The 25200-nt window shown below is 39.3% G+C and overlaps 1 long non-coding RNA gene across 1 annotated transcript in view; it reads left to right on the top strand.

Moving 5' to 3' along the window:
* LINC02456 (long intergenic non-protein coding RNA 2456) overlaps nucleotides 1-25200 on the top strand; it is a 432422-nt gene that overhangs the window by 90830 nt on the left and 316392 nt on the right. The gene's annotated exons all lie outside the window — the stretch shown is intronic.

Here is a 25200-nt window from a genome sequence, read left to right on the forward strand (position 1 = left end):
TTTCAAGTTCAAAGTTTCACAGATGTCTAGGGCAGTGGCAAAATGCTGCCAGTCTCTTTGCTAAAGCATAAGAACAGTTACCTTTGCTGTAGTTCCCAAGAATTTTCTCATCTCCATCTGAGATCACCCTGGACTTTGTTGTCCATATCACTATCAGCATTTTGGTCAAAGCCATTCAACAAGCCTCCAGGAAGTTTCAGACTTTCCCACATCTTCCTGTTTTCTTAGCCCTCCAAGTTTCTAGGAAGTTCCAAACTTTCCTACATTTTTTCTGTCTTTTTCTGAGCCTTCCGAATAGTTTCAATCTTTGCCTGTTACCCAGTTCTAAAATCACTTCCACATTTTTGGGTATCTTTACAGCAGCACTCCACTCTCTGTGGTACCAATTTACTGTATTAGTTTGTTCTCATGCTGCTAATAAAGACATACCCAGAACTGGGTAATTTATAAAGGAAAGAGGTTTAATTGACTCCCAATTCAACATGGCTGAGGAGGCCTCAAGAAATTTATAATCATGGTGGAAGGGAAAGCAAACACATCCTTCTTCACATGGTGGTGGCAAGGAGAAGTTCCCAGCAAAAAGGGGGAAAAGCCCCTAATAAAACCATCAGATCTTGTGAGAACTCACTTACTATCATGAGAACAGCATGAGGGTAACTGCTCCCATGATTCAATTACCTCCTACCATAGTCCCTCCCACGACATGTGGGGATTATGGGAGCTACAATTCAAGATGAGATTTGGGTGGGGACCATGGAGTCCCCACCCAAGTGGGATCATGGGATGATATGGTTTGGCTGTGTCCCCACCCAGATCTCATCTTGAATTGTAGCTCTCATAAACTCCATGTGTTATGGGAGGGACCCAGTGGGAGGTAATTGAATCATGGGGACGGGTCTTTCCCATACTGTTCTTGTAATAATGAATAAGTCTCATGAGATCTGGTGGTTTTATAAAGGGGAATTCCCCTGCACACACTCTCTCTTGCCTGCCACCACATAAGGTGTGACTTAGCTCCTCATTCATCTTCAGCCATGATTTGAGGCCTCCCTAGCCATGTGGAAAGGTAAATCAATTAACTTTCCATGATAAATTACCCCATCTCGTGTATGTCTTTATTAGCAGCATGAGAACAGACTAATACACACCATGTTTTACAAACTGGACTGATGATAAGAATCACCTGGGGCTGTTGTTAAATGTTCAGATTCGCAGCATGTCTAATGGAGATTTTGATTGTAGGTCTGGGTTTTGGCTCAGGAGTCTGTTTTATTTTAATTTAAATATTAAGTGCCCCAGTTATTCTTATAATCATCTACTACATCCCTGTGCCTTAAGTTTTGCTTCATGTCCATTTTGAACTTTAAATTACCATCTTACATATTTCCCCTGTCCTTGCTGGTGTTAGAAAACAAACCTGAATCTGTTCTGCATACCCTCTGTGTTGGAGGAGTCATGCCCTAGTCCTCATCCTGGGGCGGGCAGTTCTCTTACCCTGCCTCATTATGACCAACCCTCCTTTCTGGCACTAGGCTCTTTCCTGTGCCCCATTCCAGTGTCTGCAGTCTTGCCACTTGTAGATGGACATCTGATATGGTGATCAACTCCACAAACAACTTCATTTAATTCAATAAACATTTACTGACTTGAGTTATGTCCCAGGCACTGTGCTAGGTGCTGGCAAGATGAAAAAAGGAAAGAACAGTTTAAAGGGTGTGACAGACACATAAAGAAACAGCCATAATATTGTGTGATAAATGCTTTAGCAGAAGCATGTACAAAGTGCTATGGAAACTCAGACGAGAGTGTGATTAATTCCTCCTGGGAAGGGTCAGGAAAAGTCACAGAGAAGAGTTTACATTTGGAAGGTAATCAAAAGTTCTCTCAGAGGTCAGGGAGAGGGGAGGGCCTTCCAAGCAGAGAGCAAAGCCGAAACAAATCCAAGGAGAGTGAGAGTGCTTGATTTACTCCGGCAACTTGGACTGAGTCACCCAGTGGGCCAAGAGCAGTGTTTTTTCCAAGTGTAGTCCTCATGCCATCTTCATCCATAATTCCTTGGGTAGCCTATTAGAAATACACATTTCAAGATCTTAACCTCATACTTACTGATTTGTAATCTTGGGGTGCAGCCTGACAACGTTTATTCATAACTAACCCCCTCAGTGATTCTTTAAACTGAAAATAAAGCAGTTGTTCTCTACTTTGGTACATTATAATCATCAGGGAGCTTTAGAAAATACTGAGGCCTGATCTTATCCTCCAAGGTTCCCATTTAAGAGGTTTGGGATATAGCCTGGGCATCTCCATTTTTAAAGCTCCCCCAGTGATTTTAATGCATGGAACCACTGCACCCAATTTGAGGACCACAGAACGAGAGCATCAGATTCAAGAAGGCAAAGCAGGCACTTGGAGACCTGCTACAAATTATAATGGAGATGTAAAAAGTTCATGCAGAGTTTTCCATGCCATGTTGGGGAGTTTGGTTTCAATTTTGTAGATGGTGAAGAGACAATGCAAGAGGTGGCTCCTACGGGCTCATATTTCTGTTTAGGCCTCAATAAATGGTGGTGTTAGAAAACAAGATTGAATCTGGTTTGTACACCCATGGTGTTGAGGGAAGGGATGCTTTACTACCACTCCATGAAGTGGGCTCAACTATGCCCTCAGAGTAACTGTTCGTCTTTCAGATAAAGGCTCTGAATACTCCTGTTGCTTTCTTAAGAGACACAGTGGGCACCTATCCTGTACTCACTGTTGAAAAATCCTCAACTGTATCCCACGTAAATTCTGAGCCGTGCAAAGCTTCATGAAGGGAAGACCTAAGGGAGATTGGTGGTGGGCATTATATATTCACATGGTCTCCATTAGGCCCAGCAGTTACAGGTATTGACTTCAACCTTGAAGTTCAGGAATAGAAGAAAATGTGTTGTGTGGATTATTGTGCCTACAAGGCACAGAGAAGTTTTGGGATAGATTGCAATGGCATAGAAGAAGGAGAGGTGAGAGGTGAGTGGGGAAAGTATAGTTATAAGCCAATCACCACTCCACAGTGAGGTGTTGGGACTTTTGTGGACCACCTTGATTAAGATAGAACCAGATATGTTGTGGGTACAGTTGTGAAGGAAAATGAAGGGAGGTCAGAAGTCTAATGCTGGAGCCACCTGAAGACCCTGACTAGCAGCTAGTCATGCAGACCTCAATGAAGTCTCTCCCTCTCATTGTCTCTTCAATTTTCTCCCCTTTCCCTCTTCTATCTTCTCAGTCTTTTCCCCTCTTCTTTAACCCTCTGCATCCTCACTGCCCATAGTGCTCCCAGAAACAACAATAAAGCCTACCAGACTCCAACATTTCTTAATGGGCCCATGAGTTACAGCCTTTGTTGAAACTTATTGCTAAGAAGAATGTTGGTGATTCTTTGGTACAACCTCTTCAATTTGTGAATGGAGAAATGGAGGTCCAGAAAGGAGACATGATTGTCCAGGGGAAAAAAAAAAGGTCATAGAGCTAGTTAGCGGTAGAATTCAAACAGATCCATGTCTTCTGACTTTCTCTATTAGCCTGCATCTACTGTGCTATGCTCCGGTCACAATGGGGAATTCTCATACTTTGCATGCTTTGAGGGGTAAATTGTACACTCTTCACGTTTGGTTCCTACAACCACTTTGTAAGAAGGCTATAGCCATTAGTTCATCATGTGTGCTAAGTTCAAAGAGAAGGAATGTGCTTTGCTTAAGAATGCGAGTTTCACCAGAAAGGAAGTAGAAATTTATAAAATAGGAAAGTTCAGGTTTACATAATTTTAGGCCATATGAGTAGAATTTTTATATAGTAGATTCTAAAATTACTGTTTTCCATTATCATGATGTAGAGTCCCAGAACCATTACCCTAGGACAAGGAAAGACTTTGTCTGATGGTTGTGTGTTTGAGTGCAGGAAAAGACAGGATGTGGTTACATAACTTTGGTGTTTTGACCTTGGTCTTGCTTCATTTTGAAGGCTTCTAACCTTGTTTGCTGGTGCCCTCATGAGTATGTGGAAGATGAGATCGTTGCTTCTCTCACACAACAGTGCAATGAGAACATTATCTGTGACATTATGGAGTCTGGGAATCCAGTGTAGCATCTGAGTCAGTCCTAGCCCAATAGCAGGCACTCATGGGTTATTTTTTGAGTTGAGTTGAGATGAGGCCTGCAGGTCTGCAGCAAATTACTATTGATGCCATCTTGAGCAAGTCGTTTTCTTTCTCCAAACTCACTCTTCTCTCTTACAAAATAACAGACAAGAACAAGACAACTTCTGACATTCCTTCCCACTCAGAGATTGGCATCCCTTTTTTAAAAAATCCCAGAAATTTGGACTTAGGAGACCCTTTGAAGGTCAATTAGCCCAACCCACAGCTTGTTCAAGGCAGAGCCAGATTATTCAAAGAAGTAGAGATTTGGCAACTTCATGGCTTGTATAATAGTGGAAATCAGCCAAAAAGAATAATTGAGGTTAAAAAGTTATTTGAGGGCCAGAATTACTCTCTTTGGTCAATATCCATCACATTAATGAGGAATAGTGAAATCTCTATTTTGCTTTGGTTTTCTCCTTTGCTCTCTACTGATATATAACATATATACATCAGTAAAATGCACAAGTCTTAAGTGTACAGTGTGAGGAATTTTTACATATGTATCCACCCATGTAACTATCTCACAAATCAAGATACAGAACATTTTGACAACTGGAGAAAGCTTCCTCATGCCTTCACTACCCTCTCTCAAGGGATAGATCTAATTTCTATCACTGTAGGTTTGTTTTGTCTAGTTTTGAACTTTATATGAATGGAACCACAGCGTATATAACCCATTGTGTCTGACTTTTCACTCAACCTTGTGTCTAAGATTCATCCATATTGTTGCATATGTCAGGAGTCTTTTTGTTGTTGTTGCAATGTGTGAATTGTAAGACTACCACAACTTAAGAATTCATCAGTGCAGATTATTAGCTACAGACGAGGAGAAAAAGTTAGAAGATTTGTCTCCTAATCTTATTATTAAGTAGCTACATGAACCTCTCTCTGGGCCCATTTTCCTCAACTGTGAGTGAAGAGGTCAGGCTAAAGAATCACTAGCAATTTTTCTAATTCTAAAGGCCAAAGAATGTATGTGAATCACAGACCAAACAAGCATCTGGAAGATATGAAAAAAATCACATATCTGACAAAGAACTCATCCTAGAATATGTAAGTGACTCCTACAAATCAATAAGCAAAGAAGAAAAGTCAATTAAAAATGGGAAACATGCGTGTGTGCATGTGTGTGTGGTATTTGCTGCTATTGTTGTTATAGTAAAGAAAAAAATTGTTCAGTGGGAAACCTTAGGGTCATCATGATGACCATGTAATAAATATTTTCAAATATGCAGAAATGTTGGGCCATCCACATGATGCAGAAGCTGATTTTTGAAAAAGGATCCCTTTGTATTATTTTCTGTAAGGGAGGCACCATGTTTAATTTTAGTGAATGCATGAAATGCATGCAAAAGGGCTTCATAAACTGTAAAGCTCTCTGCAAATGAAAAGCATTATTATTATTCCAGATACAATATAAGTGCAGCTGACATCAACCACCATTTATCCCAGTTGCAGGTGTAACAACCAACAAGGGTATTGTCCTTTGTTCCTTTGCCACAGCTGTGAGAGAGCATCTGAATCCAATACATAAATAACAGCTGTGATTTTAATTGAGACTTTTGAGTGGATAAGCAAGGTGTACACTGAACGCATAGCAACAGATAGGTTTTCATTTGGGCAGCCACATTATTATTTCCTCAGACTTTGAAAAGGGAAAGTTTTAACAGCCCTCTTGGAAGTGACCCTTGTTTTTCCCCCCACCTGTTCGCAGTTACTGTCACAGAATGCGTCATCACTCTCCCACGCGCACAGTGGGAAAACAAGTTTGCCATCCAGAGCAAAGGGAGTTTTTATGCTGTGTCAGGGATACAAGAGTCTGTGTATGGTTCATTGTCCATTTCCCAATTAGGCTCCCTCCCTAGGCGTTGGAGCTTCCTGCCCAGAGAGCCTGCCTGGACTCCTTATCATTTCAGCAGAAATAAGTCACATGAGAAGCCACTGCAAATCAGATTTTTGCCAGAATGCTTGTGGTCTCTGCCTTGCCCTTTTTTTCCCCCAAGATTTTGCAACTCTGTTCTTGTCTTAGGAGGGTGAGAAATTATCCCATCAATGTAATCAACCCAGATTGGTCAACCAAAGGGAATTTGCTTGTTGAATCACATTTGCTGCTAGTATGTTCTTGGACAAGGGTATCTCCATGACTCTGTCCCTTGACTGGGGTGTCTAACTATTGGGTATTCTCTTTCTTGTACTGTGCATAGATATGTTTCAGACTTTGTATTTGCCCCTTAAAGCTGCCCTTGTGATAGATTTAGCAGCTCTGTAGTAATACACACTGAAAACTAATCTAAACACTATATAGTTGTAGAGTGGAAAGAGTTTCAAAGCCCAGCAAATCTGAATTGGAATCAAAATTTATCACTATACCTGGGTGATAGGCCTCAGCTGCCTTATCTGTAAAATGGGGATAAAAATACCTCCCTAGCTCTGAAGATCATTGTAAGGTCAAGAGAGGCAATGCATGTACACTTCCCAGAGAGGGTCTGGCCCATAGTAATTGCCTCATAATTAGTGAGTGAGATGATTGTTCCATAAACTGTACAGCTGGGGAAGATCCCCCAATGCAGACACATGGCTAGCCCAAGTTTAACAGCAACTTAATGGCAGATGTAGGAGAAAAGTTAAGATCCAGAGCTTCTTTCTACTACATCTAAGAATTGTTTCCTCAGGTTTGGGGAGGAGACAGCAAAGCTAAACACTTCAAGGTAAATTATGATGCTTTGATGATTTCTTAAGCTGAGTGGTCTATAGTTCACTGGCATAGAAGGAAGGTTTTTGTTTTAGAAATATCATCTCTGCTTATGTTTACAGCATATCTTTCCTGTTCAGCCAGAGGCATCCATATTGCTTTGAGGAGAGTTAGCATTGTTAGATTAGGACAGCAAGAAGAAAGAAACTAATAAAATAGATTCTTGCACCCCACAATAGAAACATGGATTCGAATGCTAAAGTGTTGACTTGCAAGAGCCAGGTTCTTAATGAGAGAGGAAGAAGCTTGAGAATCCAAAGAGAAGGTCTTTAAGGAAGCAAGTTGTCCATGACATAAAGTTAGGTTACAAAGAGAACAGGGGAAGAACGAGGTCACCCCACCCCCTCTCTGGGCTAGTGGGTAGTTGATAGTGACCTGATTGGAGGAGGGAGAAAAGTGGTGGGCTGAGGGTTGGGATGAAGATGCTAGAGGGGACCATGGGGAGGAGAGCCTGCAAGTATAAGTGGACAGTGTACCTTGCTTTGCCATTTAGGGGAGGGCCATGTTAGCTGTCTCTCTCAGCCTTTGCTGTTGAGAACCTTCTGTAAACATATGCTTACATACCAACCCATAGATTTTCAGCAGAAGTGATACCCCACAATGTCCCCAGATTTTGCTAAGGTCCATATGAGTTATCTATTTGGATATCCTTTTTCAGTGACCACGGTCACTAATAAATACCGTGAAACATAGGCATGATTTCCAGAAGATGCTTGGAGATGTGGAGCATAGGCCCTCAGCATTTGTACTGGATGCAGCAACCATCCTCATGCCCTAGGTTTAATTTTAGGAGTTAATACAGCATGGCAATTAAGAATGTGGTCTCTGGCATCAGACTGACTGCCTTAGATCCTGGTTCTCTCCTCTTATTAGCTGGGAAATTTTGAGGAAGTTTATAAAACCCTTAGATTCTTAGCTTCCTTGTCTCCTCAATCACAGTATCATAATTTCTGCAACATAGTTTGCAGTGACTAAATAAATTAATACACAGGAAGGACTTAGTTAGAACAATGCCTGCTACATAGTATAGTTTAATAATTGCCTGTTGTAGTTGTTCTTACTGCCTGTGCCCAGCCAAATTTGTGTGTGTGTGTGTGTGTGTGTGTGTGTGTATGATACAGAGCTAACAATCTGACAGCTTTTTTTTTTTTTTGCAATAACAAAAAGAGAAGTTATTTATTTACTATTTCACCTTTCTGGGGTTGTTAATTTGATTTTCTACTCATTCATTTGTATATGCTTTTAAGAAATATTTATGGAGCCCCTTCTATGTGCCTATCAGGCACTGGGCTGACTGCTGGGGATAAAATGGCATGTAAGATAGGCATATCCCTGCCCTCATGTAGTTTACAACTACAACTAGTCTATTCCAATAACTGTTTTCCCTTTATCTGATTTTGGGGCCTGGGCCAATCTCCTGAGCACATTTCCTAGTGCTGGCAATTGGGGTCCTGCAGCAGGCCATAAAATGCATGGTATATGGGTTTAATAATGTCAGGGGAAATTTTCAGTTAATCCCTTGGACTGTGGGTACACCCAGGATTCAAAGGCCAGACCAAAACGGCACGAAGAGAAACAGAGAACTGGTAATTATCTGGTGAATTTGGGTCATGTGGAAAGCCAAACTAAATTACTTTCGCCAAGGAAAAAATGATTTTTTTTTTTCTCTTCAAATGAATTCGTTTTGGTGAGATTTTCCTAGGGTCTTCCCTTCCTTGCTTTGCATTATTCAACCAGGTATTTCCTAGAAACCAGCACAGCGTGGGTAAAATATAAAGACAAGGACTTCGAGGGAAATGAAAACTGCTTGTCCATGGGGTATTTGGGGAGCCCTGGTCTTATTCCCGATATATAACATATAAGGAAAATTGTACTAAGTTGACAGTGCTACCATAAATCCAGTCAGCTCGTGGGTGCTCTAATTTTGAACTAAATCTAACAGCTTCTGTTTATTTGTGAAACAGATGTTTTAAGTTAAACGTTTCTTATGTCTTTTTGTTCAGAATTATATCATATTATAATTTTGCATTTCTAAGGCAAAAGCAAATGAAGGGAACATGCTTAATTTTTAGGATATGAGTAATTTATTATACTTTTAATAGAGGATTTCAATGTATTCCCCATCCAGGAAATGGTAATGGAAATTGCCTACTTCAACATGTAATCTATAAGATCTTGTTAAATAGTGTAATGAGAATTTGTCACTTTGTCACCTAGCTGACCTTTTACAACCCTGAAACTCAAAGTGAAGTGACACCTCCCTCAATTCAGATGAAATGCCTGCATATTTTACTGTGTTTTCACCAAGAAATCCCTTCAGCCAAAATTTCAGCTAGTCCAAGTCAATTTTTAAGCAAAGTGCATAACCAGAAATTGGCACAAACATTTGTGTATCATCCTTTCCATATTCAAAAGCTGTCTGAGACTCATTTGATTAAGCATAAAAATAACTCTGTGAATGTCATTAGAAAGGCAGCGAACATTCTATGTCTGGTCCCTTGAATTTGTATTCTGGGGATGCATTATTAAGTCACTGCTAAGTCGTTTCTCTTGTAAGAACCTGATCATGCTCTCTAGAGTCTGAAAAAATTATTTTCATTTTGAGTTTAGAAGGCTTAGTTTTTCTATTTCCGTTCAACAGAAAGGAAACAGCTGGTAAGTTAGGGAAGGCCAGTGTATTTGGCTACTGTAATCTCCACTGCCTTCCCTGGTTAACAGAATATCTTTATTCCAACCAGGGCTCCCTCCCTGCCAAATCTCCTTATTAAACTAAATTGTGATTAGAAAAGAATAAATGACATTTTATTTCATATGTGGCTCCTTTCAAACTTCCATACTCCTCTTTAAGTTTTCCTCTTACAAAACTTTTCCTTGGCCTTGGGCATTTCTCCTCCTTGGCAGACCTTCAACATTGCAAAGTTCCTGACAAGTCTTGTAGACTACTACTGAATGAAGCACCTCCTCATTCGTTCCTGTGGGATCAACTGTTATCCATGCACTTATTCATTCCATAAACATTAATTCTTACACACAAAATGGCTATGTGTATTCTAGACTCAAGTGGTCGTCTCTGAGGATCATGTATTGGTTCAAAAATGGGATGCTCTTTCTCTTTCTCAGATTTGTTTTTCTGTTAGGTGCAGTTGCTTTTTTCCAAAGTCAAGGAAGTCCAAAATGCAGGTTGCATATTGGTGGAATGGGTTCCAAATGTGGACAGATGTTGACAGAAGAAGTGTCAGTTGGGGAGTTTATTACAAATGGATATTTAGGGTCCCAGTTTCTAGAAGTTCTGAGCCAGTTGGGTGGGGCTCAGAGTTTTCTTATGTGCAGCTATATGTTGTCCCACTGATGTGTAGGGCTAGAGTGATAGCAGTGGATGTGGAGAAAGAGGATGGATTGAAAAACGACCTAGGAGGCAGAGTGTGCAGGGCTTGATGGCCACAGATAGGAGTGAGGCCACAGGTAGGAGTGAGAACAGAGGAGTTGAAGATAACCTGTGTATACATATTTGTTCTTAGTTCATCTGCAAAAACAAAAAGAATACTACTTATTTCAGCAATGGAAAATTACCCAGGATTGTTTCAACAAGGCAACACTAAAAATATTCCCCAAACAATTCTTTGGTATCAAAAAATAAATACCAGATGGAGTATACACTTTTTGATTGACTGCAAGGAATTTATTGAAGGTTGAAAGAAAGTAAAACTTAATGTTGCATTTAGCAAAGACTTTGACTTTTCTCCTTTGTACATTCAACCTGGGGCCATAGTGAAAGTCATATTGGGGATAAAATGTCACTATATATTTGTAATTCAGAACTTCAAAAGGACCTTCTCTGTTGATGTAGTTTTCTACTAAAGTTGTCTTGCCTGCCACAATGAGCATTTTTTTTTTTTTTTTTTTCTGAGACAGGGTCCCACTCCATTGGCCAGGTGCAGTGGTGTCATAATGGCTCACTGCAGCCTTGACTTCTAGGGCTCAATAGATCCTCCTACCTCAACCTCCCAAGAAGCTTGGAGCACAGGTATGTGCTGCCACATCAGGCTAATTTTTTGTAATTTTTTTTTTTAAGAGACAGAGTTTCACCATGTTGCCTGGGCTGGTCTCAAACTCCTGGGCTCAAGCGATCCACCCACCTCTACCTCTCAAAGTCTGGAATTCCAGGCATGAGCCATCATGCCTGCCCCACAATGAACATTTTATACCTTTTACGCTCACTTCAAACTTTCACCCTCCAGCCCACTTCTTCACCATTATCCTCACTTTGAGTGATGGACTTGAACTCTACCTCATGGAGAAGATAGACATTATCACATAGGCACACCCTACTTTTTCTGCTAAGTCTATAAACCTACTTGCAGCTGCACTTTTTTTTTCTTCTTCTCGCCGCACCATTGTCATCAAGGAAGTAACATTTCTCCTGCAAGATTTTGGATTTTATGCCTTCTCATCTTCTCAAGGACTTCATTCTTCAAGTTTTCTCTTTTCTCTCTTTTTTACCTTTAGCCTCTAACTTTATACTGGATCATTTTTTTAAATTTCCATAGGTTTTTTGGGGAACAAGTGGCATTTGGTTACATGAGTAAGTTCTTTGGTGGTGATTTGTGAGATTTTGGTGCACCCATCACCTGAGCAGTACACACTGAACCCAATTTGTAGTCTTTTATCCCTCACCCCCTTCCCACCCTTTCCCCCTGAGTCCCCAAAGTCCATTGTGTCATTCTTATGCCTTTCCATCCTCATAGCTTAGCTCCCACTTATGAGTGAGAACATACAATGTTTGGTTTTCCATTCCTGAATTATTTCACTTAGAATAATAGTCTCCAATCCTATCCAGGTTGTTGTGAATGCTATTAATGCATTCCTTATTTATGGCTGAGTAGCATTCTATCATTTACATTTACATATATACACACATATATATAATACATATAATACACACACACATATATATATCTCACAGTTTCTTTATCTACTCGATTGATGAGCATTTGGGTTGGTTCCACATGTTTGCAATTGCAAATTGTGCTGCTATAAACATACATGTGCCAGTATCTTTTTTGTACAATGACTTCTTTCCCTCTGGATAGTTACCCAGTAGTGGGATTGCTGGATCAAATGGTAAGTTCTACTTTTCATTCTTCAAATAATCTCCACAGTGTTTTCCATAGTGGTTGTACTAGTTTACATTCCCACAAGCAGTTTAGAAGTGTTCCCTTTTCACTGCATCCAAGACAACATCTATTATTTTTTGATATTTTGATTATGGTTATTCTTGAAGGAGTAAGGTGGTAACACATTGTGGTTTTGATTTGCATTTCCCTGATCATTAGTGATATTGAGCATTTTTTCATGTTTGTTGGCCATTTCTATAACTTTTTTCGAAGATTTATAGATTGTGATTTTCTCCTACTCTGTGGGTTGTCTGTTTACTCTACTGACTGTTCCTTTTGCCATGTGAAAGCTCTTTAGTTTAATTAAGTCCAAGCTATTTATCTTTGTTTTTATTGCATTTGCTTTTGGGTTCTTGGTCATTAAATCCTTGCCTAAGCCAATGTCTAGAGGGGTTTTTCTGATGTTATCTTCTAAAATTTTTATAGTTTCAGGTCTTACATTTAAGTCTTTGATCCATCTTGAGTTGATTTTTGTATAAGGTGAGAGATGAGGATCCAGTTTCATTCTCCTACCTGTGGCTTGCCAATTATCTCAACACCATTTGTTGAATAGGATGTCTTTTCCCCACTTTATGTTTTTGTTTGCTTTGTCTAAGATCAGTTCGCTGTAAGTATTTGAGTTTATTCTGGGTTCTCTATTCTATTCCATCGGTCTAGGTGCCTATTTTTATACCAGTACCATGCTGTTTTGGTGACTACAGCCTTATAGTATAGTTTGAAATCAGGTAATTTGATGCCTCCAGATTTGTTCTTTTTGCTTAGTCTTGCATTGGCTATGTGGGCTCTTTTTGTTTCCATATGAATTTTAGGATTTTTTTTTGTAGTTCTGTGAAGAATGATGGTGGTATTTTGATGGGAATTGCATTGAATTTGCAGATTCCTCTTGGCAGTATGGTCATTTTCACAATATTGATGCTACCCATCCATGAACATGGGATTTGTTCAGTTTGTTTGTGTCTTCTATGATTTCTTTCAGCAGTGTTTTATAGTTTTCCTTGTAGAGATCTTTTACCTCCTTGGTTAGGTATATTCTTAAGTATTTTATTTTATTTTTGCAGCTATTGTAGAAGGGGCTGAGTTCTTGATTTGATTCTCAGCTTGGTCACTGTTGGTGTGTAGAAGAGCTACTGATTTGTGCATATTAATTTCACATCCAGAAGCTTTGCTGAATTCTTTTATCAGTTCTGGGAGCTTTCTGGCAGAGTCTTTAGGGTTTTCTAGGTAAACAATCATATCATCAGCAAACAGCAACAGTTTGACTTCCTCTTTACCAATTTGGATGCCTTTATTTCTTTATCTTGTCTGATTGCTCTAGCTAGGACTTCCAGTACTATGTTGAAGAAGAGTGGTGAGAGTGAGCATCCTTGTCTTGTTCCAGTTCTCAGAGGGAATGCTTTCAACTTTTCCCTATTCATTATTATGTTGGTTGTGGGTTTGTCATTTTACTTTGTCATTTCTGTTAGCATCAATACCTTTTCTAGCACCTTCCATTAAAAAAAATCTCTTAATTCCACAGCCCTGTTTCTCTGATTCCTCCTGGTCAACATTCTTTTTAAAAGTCTTCTACACATTTTTTTCTTCATTTCCACACCTCTCACTCATTCTTTACTTCAGCCTCAATGTGATGTTTGTTCTGATTCACCAAAGCTACTCACGAAAAGCACAAATATCCTTTACATTATAAAATACCTTACGAATATTTTATTACCTTTCAATGCAGTAGAACACTAACTGGCTCCTTGCAACACTTTGTCGTCCTGACATTAATTTGGGGAAATTCCCAGCCATTATTATTTCAAATATTTCTTTTGCTTTTTTCTCTTCTCCTTCTGGTGTTCCTATTGTACATATGTTACACCATTTGTAGTTGTCCTACAGTCCCTGGATATTTTGTACTGTTTTTGTCCCCAGTATTTGTTCTCTTTGCTTTTTAGTTTTTAAGTTTCTATTGCTGTATCCTCATGCTCAGAGATTCTTTCCTCAACTGTGTCCAGTCTACTAAGAAGCCCATCAAAGTCATTCTTTATTTCTGTTATGGTGTTTTTGATATCTAGCATTTCTATTTCATTCTTTCTTAGGATTTCCATCTGTTTGCTTACATTGTCCATGTGTTCTTGGATGCTATCTCCTTTATCCATTAGAGCCCTTGGCATGTTAATCACAGTTGTTTTAAATTCCTGGTCTGATAATTCCAATATCCCTGCCATATTTGGTTCTGATGCTTGCTCTGTCTTTTCAAATGATGTTTTTGTCTTTTGGTATGGTTTATAATTTTTTGGCAGTTGGATGTGATGTATCAGGTAAGTAAGCCCCTTGTAGTGTGGGGTAAGCTGTGGGGAGCAGGAAAGCAATCTATAGTCATATACTTAGGTCTCAGTCCTTTAGTGAGTCTATGCCTTTGAACTGTGAACTTCAGAAGTCTTTCTCAGTTTTTTTCTTCCCTTTTAGGTGGAACAGAATGGCTAGAGTGGGATGGAGTTGGGTATTTCCTTCCCCCCAGGTCAGTTAGTTTCTGATGATACCCTAGGGGGTTAGACTCTGATTAATTAGTTTATTCCGGGGAAGATCTTGTTAAGAACAGAATTCCCCGGCCTATTTCAAAATGGTTCCCTTTACCCTCCCCCTGATGGAAACATGAGGGGATTTTTCTCTTAGGCTTACTGTGGGAACTTGGTTGAGCTCCTGAGACCCCTAAAGTTTTTAATTATCTGGCTTGTCAGCGCTGAGTCCCCAGTAATTAGTCAATTACAGTTCAGGTGTTCCTCCACAGCACTAGTTCCCATGGCAGTTTCTGCTCATGAGCATGTCCTGGGAAGCCATGATTCCCTGTATTTGCCTCTGTCTCCAGTCTTGTGGATAGCAGTTTGCCTTGTGTCTTCCCCTCTATTATGGATCCAAAAAGAGTTGTTGATTGTTCACTCTGTTCAGCTTTTTACTTGTTTTGAGAATGGAGTTTTGACTTCTAAGATCCTTACCTGCAAGACCGGAAACCAGAAGTTCCTGTGTTAAGAACAGACTGTAGAAGATGAAAGGATGGAGTATTATTTTTCTAGAGATGCCACAACATACTACCACAAACAGAGTGGCTTAAGCCAATAGAAATGTATTCTCTCACAATTCTGGAGGCCAGAAGTAAGACATCAAGGTGTCAGCAGGGCCATGCTCTCTCTCTGAAAACTCTAGAGGAGAATCCTTCCTTGCATCTTCCAGCTCTGGTGGCTTCTGGCATTCCTTGGCTTGTGGAAGCACAACTCCAGTCTCTGCCTCCCTCTTCACATGGCCTTTCCCCATGTATCAGTGTCTCTGTCCAAATCACCCTCTCCTTGCTCTTAGAAAGACACCATTTATTGGATTTAGGATCCACCCTAGATCAAGAATGATTCAGTCATGGGATTCTTAACTAACCACATCTGCAAAGACTCCATTTCCAAACAAGGTCACATTAATAAGTGTGTGTGTGCGGGTGGTAGGGCTCAAATATATCTTTTTGAGGGATACAGTTCAACCCACTACAGCATTAAGTAACCAAATTAAATTTTAAGTGAGCAGTGGCAGGGCTTATGATGACAGTGTATATATGAAGATTTGGTGTATGTTTCTATGAGAGAGATTATGAGATTCGCTGATGGATTTCATTTGGAGTGTGACAAAGAACAGCATCAAAAATGACTTCGACTTTTAACTTGACATAGGATGAATAGGACTTTTGATCTGACATAGGATGAATTTACTGATCTAGAAAGATGCAAGTTTTGGGGGGAGAGGACTATGAAGACTTTCCCCAATTACTTTAATAATATAGCATAGAATTTAAGAGCAACACCTCTGGAGGCAAATAGACCTGGGCTCACAAATAATGTTAACATACCTTGGGGTATTTTACTTAATCTCCCTGGGTCTTGGGATTCCCATTTGCAAAATGGGCATAATAAAAATAATACCTCTCTCATAATATTATTGGAATGATTTCACATGATTATGCATGTGAGCTATTAATAGTCAGTGGCAAACAGGCAGTACTTCCCCTGTAAATCTTATCTATTCATCTCATTTTGAAAGGAGCCTACAGAGATTTGGAAGGCCCCTTCAAATGCACCATTCTTTTATTCTGACATCACTTTGGTGGATTAGGAAGACTGATGTGGCAGCAGCATATAGATTAGACTGGGGTGGGAAGAGAAGGAGGCAGGGAACCTACTAAGTTGTCCATTGAGAGATGTCAGTGGCATGAGAATAGTGGGGAAAGAGAAAACAGAGAGGACGTTATTGAGGGAACTGCACAGGACCTGGCAAATGATGCACTGTGAGAAAAGATAAAGATGTCTGACTTTCTAACTCTGGAAAGTTGGAACACAGTAACTGATGAAAGTGGCAAAGTGGAAGTGTAGAGTAACCTTGGGATGAGAAAGGGGAAGGAGCATATTCAGTTTAGACTCACCAGATTGAAGTACTGACAGTATAAGAAATTAGGCACCAAGTAGAATCATGGCATGCAGTAAGTGCTCCATATCTGAATGGTTGGTAGATCTAGGTCAGTACTGTCCAATAGACATATGAGAGCCACAAATGTAAGCCATGGGTCATTTAAATTTTCCTAGTAGCCATATTAAAAAAAGTAGAATGAAACTAATTTTGATAATATGTTTTATTTAACCTAATATAACCAAAATACTTTCATTCCAATATGTAATTGCCATAAAATATTGATTATGTTATATTCTTTTTTTCAGGCTAAGTTTTTGAAATCCCATATGTATTTTATACCCACAGCACATCCCAATTTGTACTAGCCATATCTCGAGTGCTCACTAGCTGCTGTATTGGATAGTATAATTCTAGGTGGAGGTGATTGTCAGGCAGTAGATTATGATAACTGCACTTCGAAAGACAGGCATCAATCTAAAATCACCTGTATGGAAGAGGAAACCAGGTAATAGGATGAACTTTGTAAGAGAGAGAATACTAAAAGAGAAGGGAACCTAAGATAGAATGGGGGAACAATTCATTTTGCAAAGGTTTGGTTTTTCCATTAGACTGCCCAGCCCCTGAAAAGAGGTGAATTAGTAATAGTGATTCAATGCATGTTTTTAACATATGGACCTCTTGGTTTTTTAATTCTACTATTTGCAAGCATCTTGTTCATGTATTTGTTTATTGTCCATCTCCTCATTACCATAATGTAAATCTGTTTTGCTCACAATTATATTTCCAGAATAACATCTCTCACACATTAGTGCTCAGTAAATGCCTGTGAGATAAAAGTCTAATCTCTACCTTCAGAAAATTTACAATATGATGGGTAAAAAACCATTACATAGAGGAAAAATATACTAATGATAGATTCATAGAGAATTAGATTCCTGATGAATGATATTGCTAAGGTTGGGTCCAGGAGTTCAACAGAGAGAAAGAGTCATTGATTTTGGAGGAGCCTAGAAATACAGAATTGAAACATGGTCTATGCCTTAAATGATGGCTAGCCTTTGAATGTATGGGAAGCAAGGGGAAGCTTTCCAAGTAGGGTGAATGACTTATGCAAAGGTGTGGTGCATGTGAATATTTTAGTTGCAATAGCTATTAAGAAAAAGAAAGATATCAAATTGAAAATGGTGGCCACTGAAGTTTTTCATAAGGTATGCCAAGCAAAACTTTAAAAATGCTATATCAAATGGATTGAGAGAGGAGTACTGGTGAGCAGCCATTGCAATTGTCCAGAAGGCAATAAAGGTTGGACTAATAAGAGTGATGCCTTTGGGGGTAGGAGGAGGAAAGATATAAGAGATGTTTGAATAATGGCCTTGGCATATTTTGATCTCTATTTTTAAAAAGAGGCTGTTATTTAGCATAAATGACCTTGAAGGATGACCTAATGAGCACTGGATGTTTGAATGTGTTGCTGAGGAAAACTCCAAGGTTCTGAACTTGGTTGACTGAATTATGGTGCCATAGACAGAAAGTTCCAAATAGCAAATTGCTTTTAGAGGTGAAGACTAGAGAGGAAAATGGGTTGAAGTCAAAGTGTTGGAAGATATCCACGTGGAAATTTCCAGTAAGCCTTCAGATGACTAAGGGATTCAGAGAATGTAGGCTCTTTCCAAATCTTCTGTTCTTTTTGCCTATATAGAAAGTGTTTACTTTATGTGTTTCCTTGTGGCTCTGTTGATTACATTTTTATGTGTGGTTTGGAGCTCCTCTGGCTTCAGACCTGTATTTGTTTTGGGCATAGTTGGAGTAGAGTGCTAACAAGCTCAAGGTCATAGGTTTGATCCCCAAAAGGGCCAGTTAGTTTCATGGAGAGGAAAATTGCATTCCATGGTTCACAGACTTGACCCCTAATCCTGTCTGCTTGTCTCAAAACTATCTAGCATTGGTCCCAAGAGGGCCCAGTGAGAAAGTGTGAGCAGTTGTGTGCGCAATCTATTTAAACTACTGGAAGAATAACTCCAAGTGGGTTTATCTAGTTGCTTCTTCAGGAAGTTTTGTCTGCCCTCCTTCCTCAACTCTTGGGACAGAGATCACCTTTTCAGAGACAACACCATGAACAAATGCACATGAAACTGTCATGCTCATGTCTGCCTGCATCTGCGTTCCTATGTTCATTTACTTCTCAAGCAAAGGGCAGTGTGAGCACCCAGGAGCGTATAGTTCTTTGGTACAAGTGTCTACTTGTAAGTATTGGAGTATTATCAGTTTGACTTTGAGAACTGGCTTACCAGTGTTGTACAAAAAAGCCCTAGAGAGCATGAATGTGCCCAAAAGACTCTCTAAGCAAACCTTTCCCCAACAGATTTTCCTTATCAGACTGCTTTTGCTTGCTTCGTACTTTTACTGGGAAATATAAGTCAACACAGAATTCTTGTCAATTGGTCATACAAGGATACAGCATAGAATTCTCAGTGTTCTTGAGAAGAATGCTGGTATCCATAAAACAACTCCTAAACAAACCCACAGAAGGCATCTTCCACACAAGTACAGAGTTACCAGCACCTGCTGGGATGGCATCTAAAATCTGTTTTTTTGGATACTGCATTTTCAAAAATCAGTCTTAGAGGTTCTCAAATTGCTTTTTCAGTTAACAGATATACCCTGGGTCCTACAAGAGTTACCCTGAAGAGGACTTGGAATAATGCTATGCACACACTGAAAGATTCAAAATAAATCTTCATGGCTTAAAAAGGACTTGAAAATTATTTTCAAGTTCACTTCTCTTTCAGGGAATTGGAGATTGCTACACCAGGGATATTTCTCTTATTTGGCATTATGGAAAATTTTGGAGGCTGAGAAGTAAGAGACCAGACCATCAAATCTTATTTCATTGATTTCTAAGACTAATAGTGATGTCTTAAAAGAATATGTTATGGAATAAATATGACTAAAAGTAAAAGGCAGAATAAAATTATATGCTGATGAATCCAGCAAAACTGGTTGAAAAATTCTTAGTGTTTGGTTTGTACACAGACAAGCAACATACTTATTTGCATTGTTCCTTCAAATTGATTACATTGAAGATAAATTATTTTAACATTATAAAGGGACAGCCTGAAAATATCAAATAAGTAGTTAAAAATTATTACATGAAAACTTTGCATGTCTGCTGGCTGGGCTGGGCTGGAGTGAAGAAAGATAAAGAATTATGACACAGTAAGAAAATGTTAGACTTGAAATTTTTACATCTGCATTGTGGTGCAAGGATCTGCACTAGCACTTTTTACCTGATTTTTCTGGTCAGAGTCAAATTAGGGGGAAATGTGGTCAGTGTCAGAAATGTTGAGACCATGAGTTAAGAGTATATATAGAAAACGGTGTGACACACACCGGGACCTGTCAAGGGCTGGGGGGCTGGGGGAGGGACAGCATTAGGAGAAACACCTAATGTAGATGATGGGTTGATAGGTGCAGTAAACCACCATGGCACGTGTATACCTATGTAACAAGGCTGCACGTTCTGCACATGTACCCCAGAACTTAAAGTATAATTAAAAATAAAAAATAAAAAAAAGAAAGAAAATGATGTGACAAAGCCAATGGAGAGAATTCTACTTTGGCTATCTTAGATCCTTAATTAATACTCTCATTCTTAATAATAGCAGAAGTAATGATAATAAAAGTAATAGTAAAAATACCAGAAACCACACAAAACAAGAGCTGATAAGCAGACAAGTGCTGGACTATGCCAGTGGTTTCATCTAGCCACAGAAAAATTAAAAAAGATGAAAAAAATTAAATTAATGATGAGTTTTCTATAAAGCTTAATTTACACAATTAAAGAATCTGCCCTTTTTTCTTAGATTATATTCTTGCCATGTTTTTAAAAAATTAATTCATTTTCAGTGATACAATGGTGATGATAGATGATTTTTTTATTTCCTTATTTTAGGCAAATAAAGATTTTGACACCTCAGGTTGATTTTTCTCAATTTCTACTTTTATTTTTTGAAATTTCAATATTTTGAGAAATCTAGAAGTTTAGGAACTGTTGTATGATAATGTTTAATCCTTAAATAATAATTTGAGGCAGATATTGCTGTTATTATCAAAATAAGAGGAAACTAAACCCCACAGAAGTCATTTTAATTTGTCCAAAGCACATATTAGAACATGACACAAGCCCACATCTGCCTGATTTCAGCACTTGTTTCTTACTACTATGTAATTCCTGTTTGTACTAGTTAGGGCCTAGTAAGGAGAGCAGAAACCCTTCTAGACCAGGCATTTTAAACAGAGAGGATTCTTTTTTTTTTTTTTTTTTTTAAGACATCTCGCTCTGTTGCCTAGACTGGGCTGCTGGGCTGGAAAGCAGTGGCGTGATCACAGCTCATTGCAGCCTTGACCTCCTAGGATCAAGTGATCATCCCACCTCAGCCTCTTGAGTAGCTGGGACTACAGGAGCGCACCATCACACCCAGCTTTTTTAAAATTTATTTATTTATTTTTATTTTTAGGAGAGATAAGGTCTCACTCTGTTACCCATGCTGGTCTCCAACTCCTGGAATCAAGCGATCCTCCTGCCTTGACCCCCAAAGGTGCTGGGATTATAGGTGTGAGCCACTGTGCACATTCAACAGAGAGGATTTAATACAGATGATGGAAGAGATGAGTAGCTAAATAAGGGAGGGGAGTCAACCCAGAAAAAACAACATCCTAAAATCACTACCATCCCTATGGCTAGAGATACTCAGAGAGGGGAAAAACCATCTGCATGGATCTAGGTCCACTAGGGGAACAGAATGCTGCTTGCACTGGGAGGAAGGGGTTATGGAGCCAAGAGCTGCAAGTACTGCTGAAGACGCTGTTGGAGGCAAAGAGAAAAGGGGGATAATACCTGGCTTCTCCCTTCTTCTTGTCTTTTGTCTTTTGCTAATGCCTCCTATTGGCCAAACTTACCCAGAAACCAGAGCTCATAGGTGCTGAGAAATGTGGCTCATTGTGAAAACGAGCAAATCAAGGGAATGTTGGGAAATGGATATGAGAGCAGACAAGTAATCAGCCAGCACATTCTAGCACAAATCTGTATTAAGTTATTCCACTGTACCTTTTACTATAGCAGTGAGGTCTAGAGATACCAGAGGACGCTTTTCAATATTAACTATCTAAGAGAATCTACTTGGTGATAGTTGACAGATGAGGATGTCTCTATTTCCAATTCATCTTTAAAGCAGAGTGAGGCAGAAGAAATAAAAAGAAATTTGGCTCTGGGGTAGCCTTATTTTTGAGTATTTTAGATCATATAAGGGTGGCTGAATTTGAAGCTCTGAACTAAATAGGATGGAGAAGCACAATCCTGGGTCGTGTTTCTTTCTTACTGTTTTCTCCTTCCCTCTCTCCAGGAACAATCACCTCCCACCTCTGTTTCCCTTTTAGAGATTTGGGTTTGGGAAAGACAGTTCCATATTCATGGGGTGGAGTGATAGCTTCAGCGATAGCACGTGTATAGGGACATTTCTATGATCCCTGTTATCCCCTACATGTCCATTTGAAGGGAGAGACCCTACTCAGGGTTCTTTCTGAAGGAGGTTTGCACCTAAGCAGGAACCACTGAATTAAATAAGTGAGGTGGAGTTAGAAAATTATAGCACAGTTACTCAATTTTTAAATCTCCTCTTAAAAGGAAAACCTCCCTACCAGGCCACATTTCCTACTTTACTTGTAGTTCAAAGTCAAATTTTACTTTTGATGTACTGCTGCAATTGTCTCAAATCCAATTTACATCTGCTCCTGTTTTTAGTGATTGTTTTATTCTTTTACAAGCCATCTCATTCCATCACAGGGCGAAGAAAAGAACATTTAGAAACCAGATGTTGTATTAACTATAACCATTATCCTTTATGGGATCCCAGAGGTTTAATCTCTATCCATAAACAGGTGAGGAAGATACCAGCTTTCAGCTGAGCTTTACAGTTAGGATGCTTCACTGAGAAGGGGGCGAAGGCTCTGCCATCCATCTGTCATTATGACTCGGGGAGGCTCATAATGGATGGGTATAGCCCAGCAGTTTCAACCCTATCAGACCCAAAGCTCTCCTTTTTATAACATATATTTTATGATCTACCCTTTAATGTCCCTAAGTGAAATTCACAGATAATATCAACATACACAATTTTAACAAAAAGCAAAATGATGCCTGAACTGTACATAAAGTAGAAATAAAAGGAAAAAAGTTTGTAATAAAATAACATGCATTACAAGATAGAATGCTTAGGCACAACTCTCCTAGAAAACACACGGAAGTGGTCAGATGTTTATACTCGTGGAGAATCACGCATGGGACAGCTGCATGTGCGGACTGATGCAGATGTGGAGTGGAAAGATTCAAACAGCACAATTAGCATTGCCACTGATGATGTGATTTTCTAAAACAGTGAAAAAGACTTGGTAAAGTTCTACCTTTTCTTAATTTGTATGGTAATTGCATCCCTGAAGAAGTCGGTTTATGTTAAAATTGTGCAAAAACACTTTGAGTTTATAAAAATTGGAGTTATATTCCGGACTTAGGTGATTATAAACAGGATTATCTCCTACTTGAAATGTCTGGAGACCTGGTCCATACCCAATAAATGTCAGAAATGCTCTCCCCAGTCATTGCAACAGTGCCAAATGTCTCCCAAATTATCTAGGACCAGCACCACTCCACCCTTTGGGAATGCTTGTGTGGGCTGTCTAAGACCACTTTGGAGGGCAGGGATATGGGAATGTTTGTCTCATGGAACTCTAGGCTCTAAGTCCACAGTTTTTCTCCAGAAGCCCTGATTCAACCATAGCACTTGAGACTACCTCAACTTCAATAAGCTGTCAAGAGAAAAATAGTTGGATTGTTGCCAGAGGTCTTGGTAAGATTCTTTATAATCAGCTTCCAGTTTCACTTAGGTGGGAATGGTTTATTCCTAGACTGTGTAAGAGCCAATACATAACTTTCTTCATGGAGGTATCCCGAGATTGGCTCTATATCCCTGGGTGTTACCTGCATAGCATGAAGTACTATCCAGAACTGACATGCACATGTGGAAGAACGGCAGTGGGGAATGACACATTATTAGATACATTGGTTACCGTGCAGAAATGCTTCTTTATCCTGATAATATCATACTCAATAATAGGTCATCACTCAAAGGTGCCATTAGCCATGTGTCTGCCTGTAGCGTGTAAAGCCAATTTTGAACAAGAAAGTATCAGTCAGTATTCTGAGCTGTCCTCATGCCTGGATTGGGTGTAAGTGGTGGAGTAGTAAAAGCAAGTGTCTTCAGACCCAGATTTGATGTCCTCAGACCCAGATTCAAGCCTTCTCTGCTGGTCTGTGACCTTCAGTAAACTAAGTAATGTCTTTGAGCCTCCATTTCCTTATCAGTCAGTGTTTACAATAGTGCCTGATGCATAGGCTTGTTGGAAGGATGAATGAGATAATATAGGTAAACCACTTGGCATAATGACTGACTCACAGTAAGTGCTCAGTAAATATTAACCACCCTTATTGTTGGAGTGGTGGTAATTATCTCCAATAAAGATCTTACAGAAGAAAAAGATGTTCTTTTAAAAAAAGAGGCTGTTATTTGACGTAGATGACCTGGAAGGAAGATAGAATTCCTCTTAGGGATAGAATTGGTATTTCCTTTAGGAAAGAACACCTTTTGTACATATTCAGTAACAAAAGGTGAGCCAGCCCTGCCCCCACCCCCACCACTGGCAAAGCTGGGATGGGGAAAGATTGCCCTGCATAAGAATACAATATAATTTTCTTATAAGTTCTTTCCAAAGGAGGGGATAAAGGGTTTGATAGAAAGTGGTTCCTGGGAGAGTTTGCAGAAGAGTGGAAAAGATCTTGCTAAGATGACAGGAGGCACATGAGCCACCAGAAATTCCTTGGATTCATAGTAATAGTGATGTTTGCCATTGAAATGGAAGGTATTTTCTGTCCTGTGCTTAACTCATCCCCTTTTCATTGTTTACAAAATCTTTAGTGAAAGGCTGTGGCTAGATCACCCTAGTGTGAATGAAAGGAGAGAGGGATTGTCTGGAGTGGAGCGAGGGGAGAAGTAGTACAGAACACCATGACTATAGGAGGCAAAATGCTAAGAGCATGAACAAGACATTTGGAGGAAGAAGGGGCCCGCATAATGTTAGTCCCAGGGAGATTCTTGGACATTTTGAGGGAGCAAAGGTAGGAATGAACGTGAGATGGGACACCAATGGCACGTGAGAAAATATTAAAGAAAACTTTACTATAATTTCCTTAAAACTAAGTACAAAACTTGTGAGACTTTTTTTATATTTGGGTAACTTTCCAAATAGTTAATGAATTTTTAAAAAATGAAATGAGATGCTTTTAAACGAGGGAGATTACCAATCTTTATACCTTGTACTTCTATAAATGCTGTTGTGAATTTGATATTCACAGTATCTATTCAGTAAAAAATTGGAACGATTTATTGAAACAAAAACTCAATGCTGAGAGATCACATTCTTATAAATCTCTTGGTATGGGAATGTATTAGATGCCATTTATATATTATGTGCCTTATTTGATACGTGTGAACCTTCTGGCAATAGAATATTTTCCCAACCACTTTGTGTCAGGGATTATAAGTCACTGTTGGGTGACAGTGAGG

This window comes from Homo sapiens, chromosome 12 (assembly GCF_000001405.40).
Source record: "Homo sapiens chromosome 12, GRCh38.p14 Primary Assembly".
Lineage (NCBI taxonomy): Eukaryota > Metazoa > Chordata > Mammalia > Primates > Hominidae > Homo > Homo sapiens.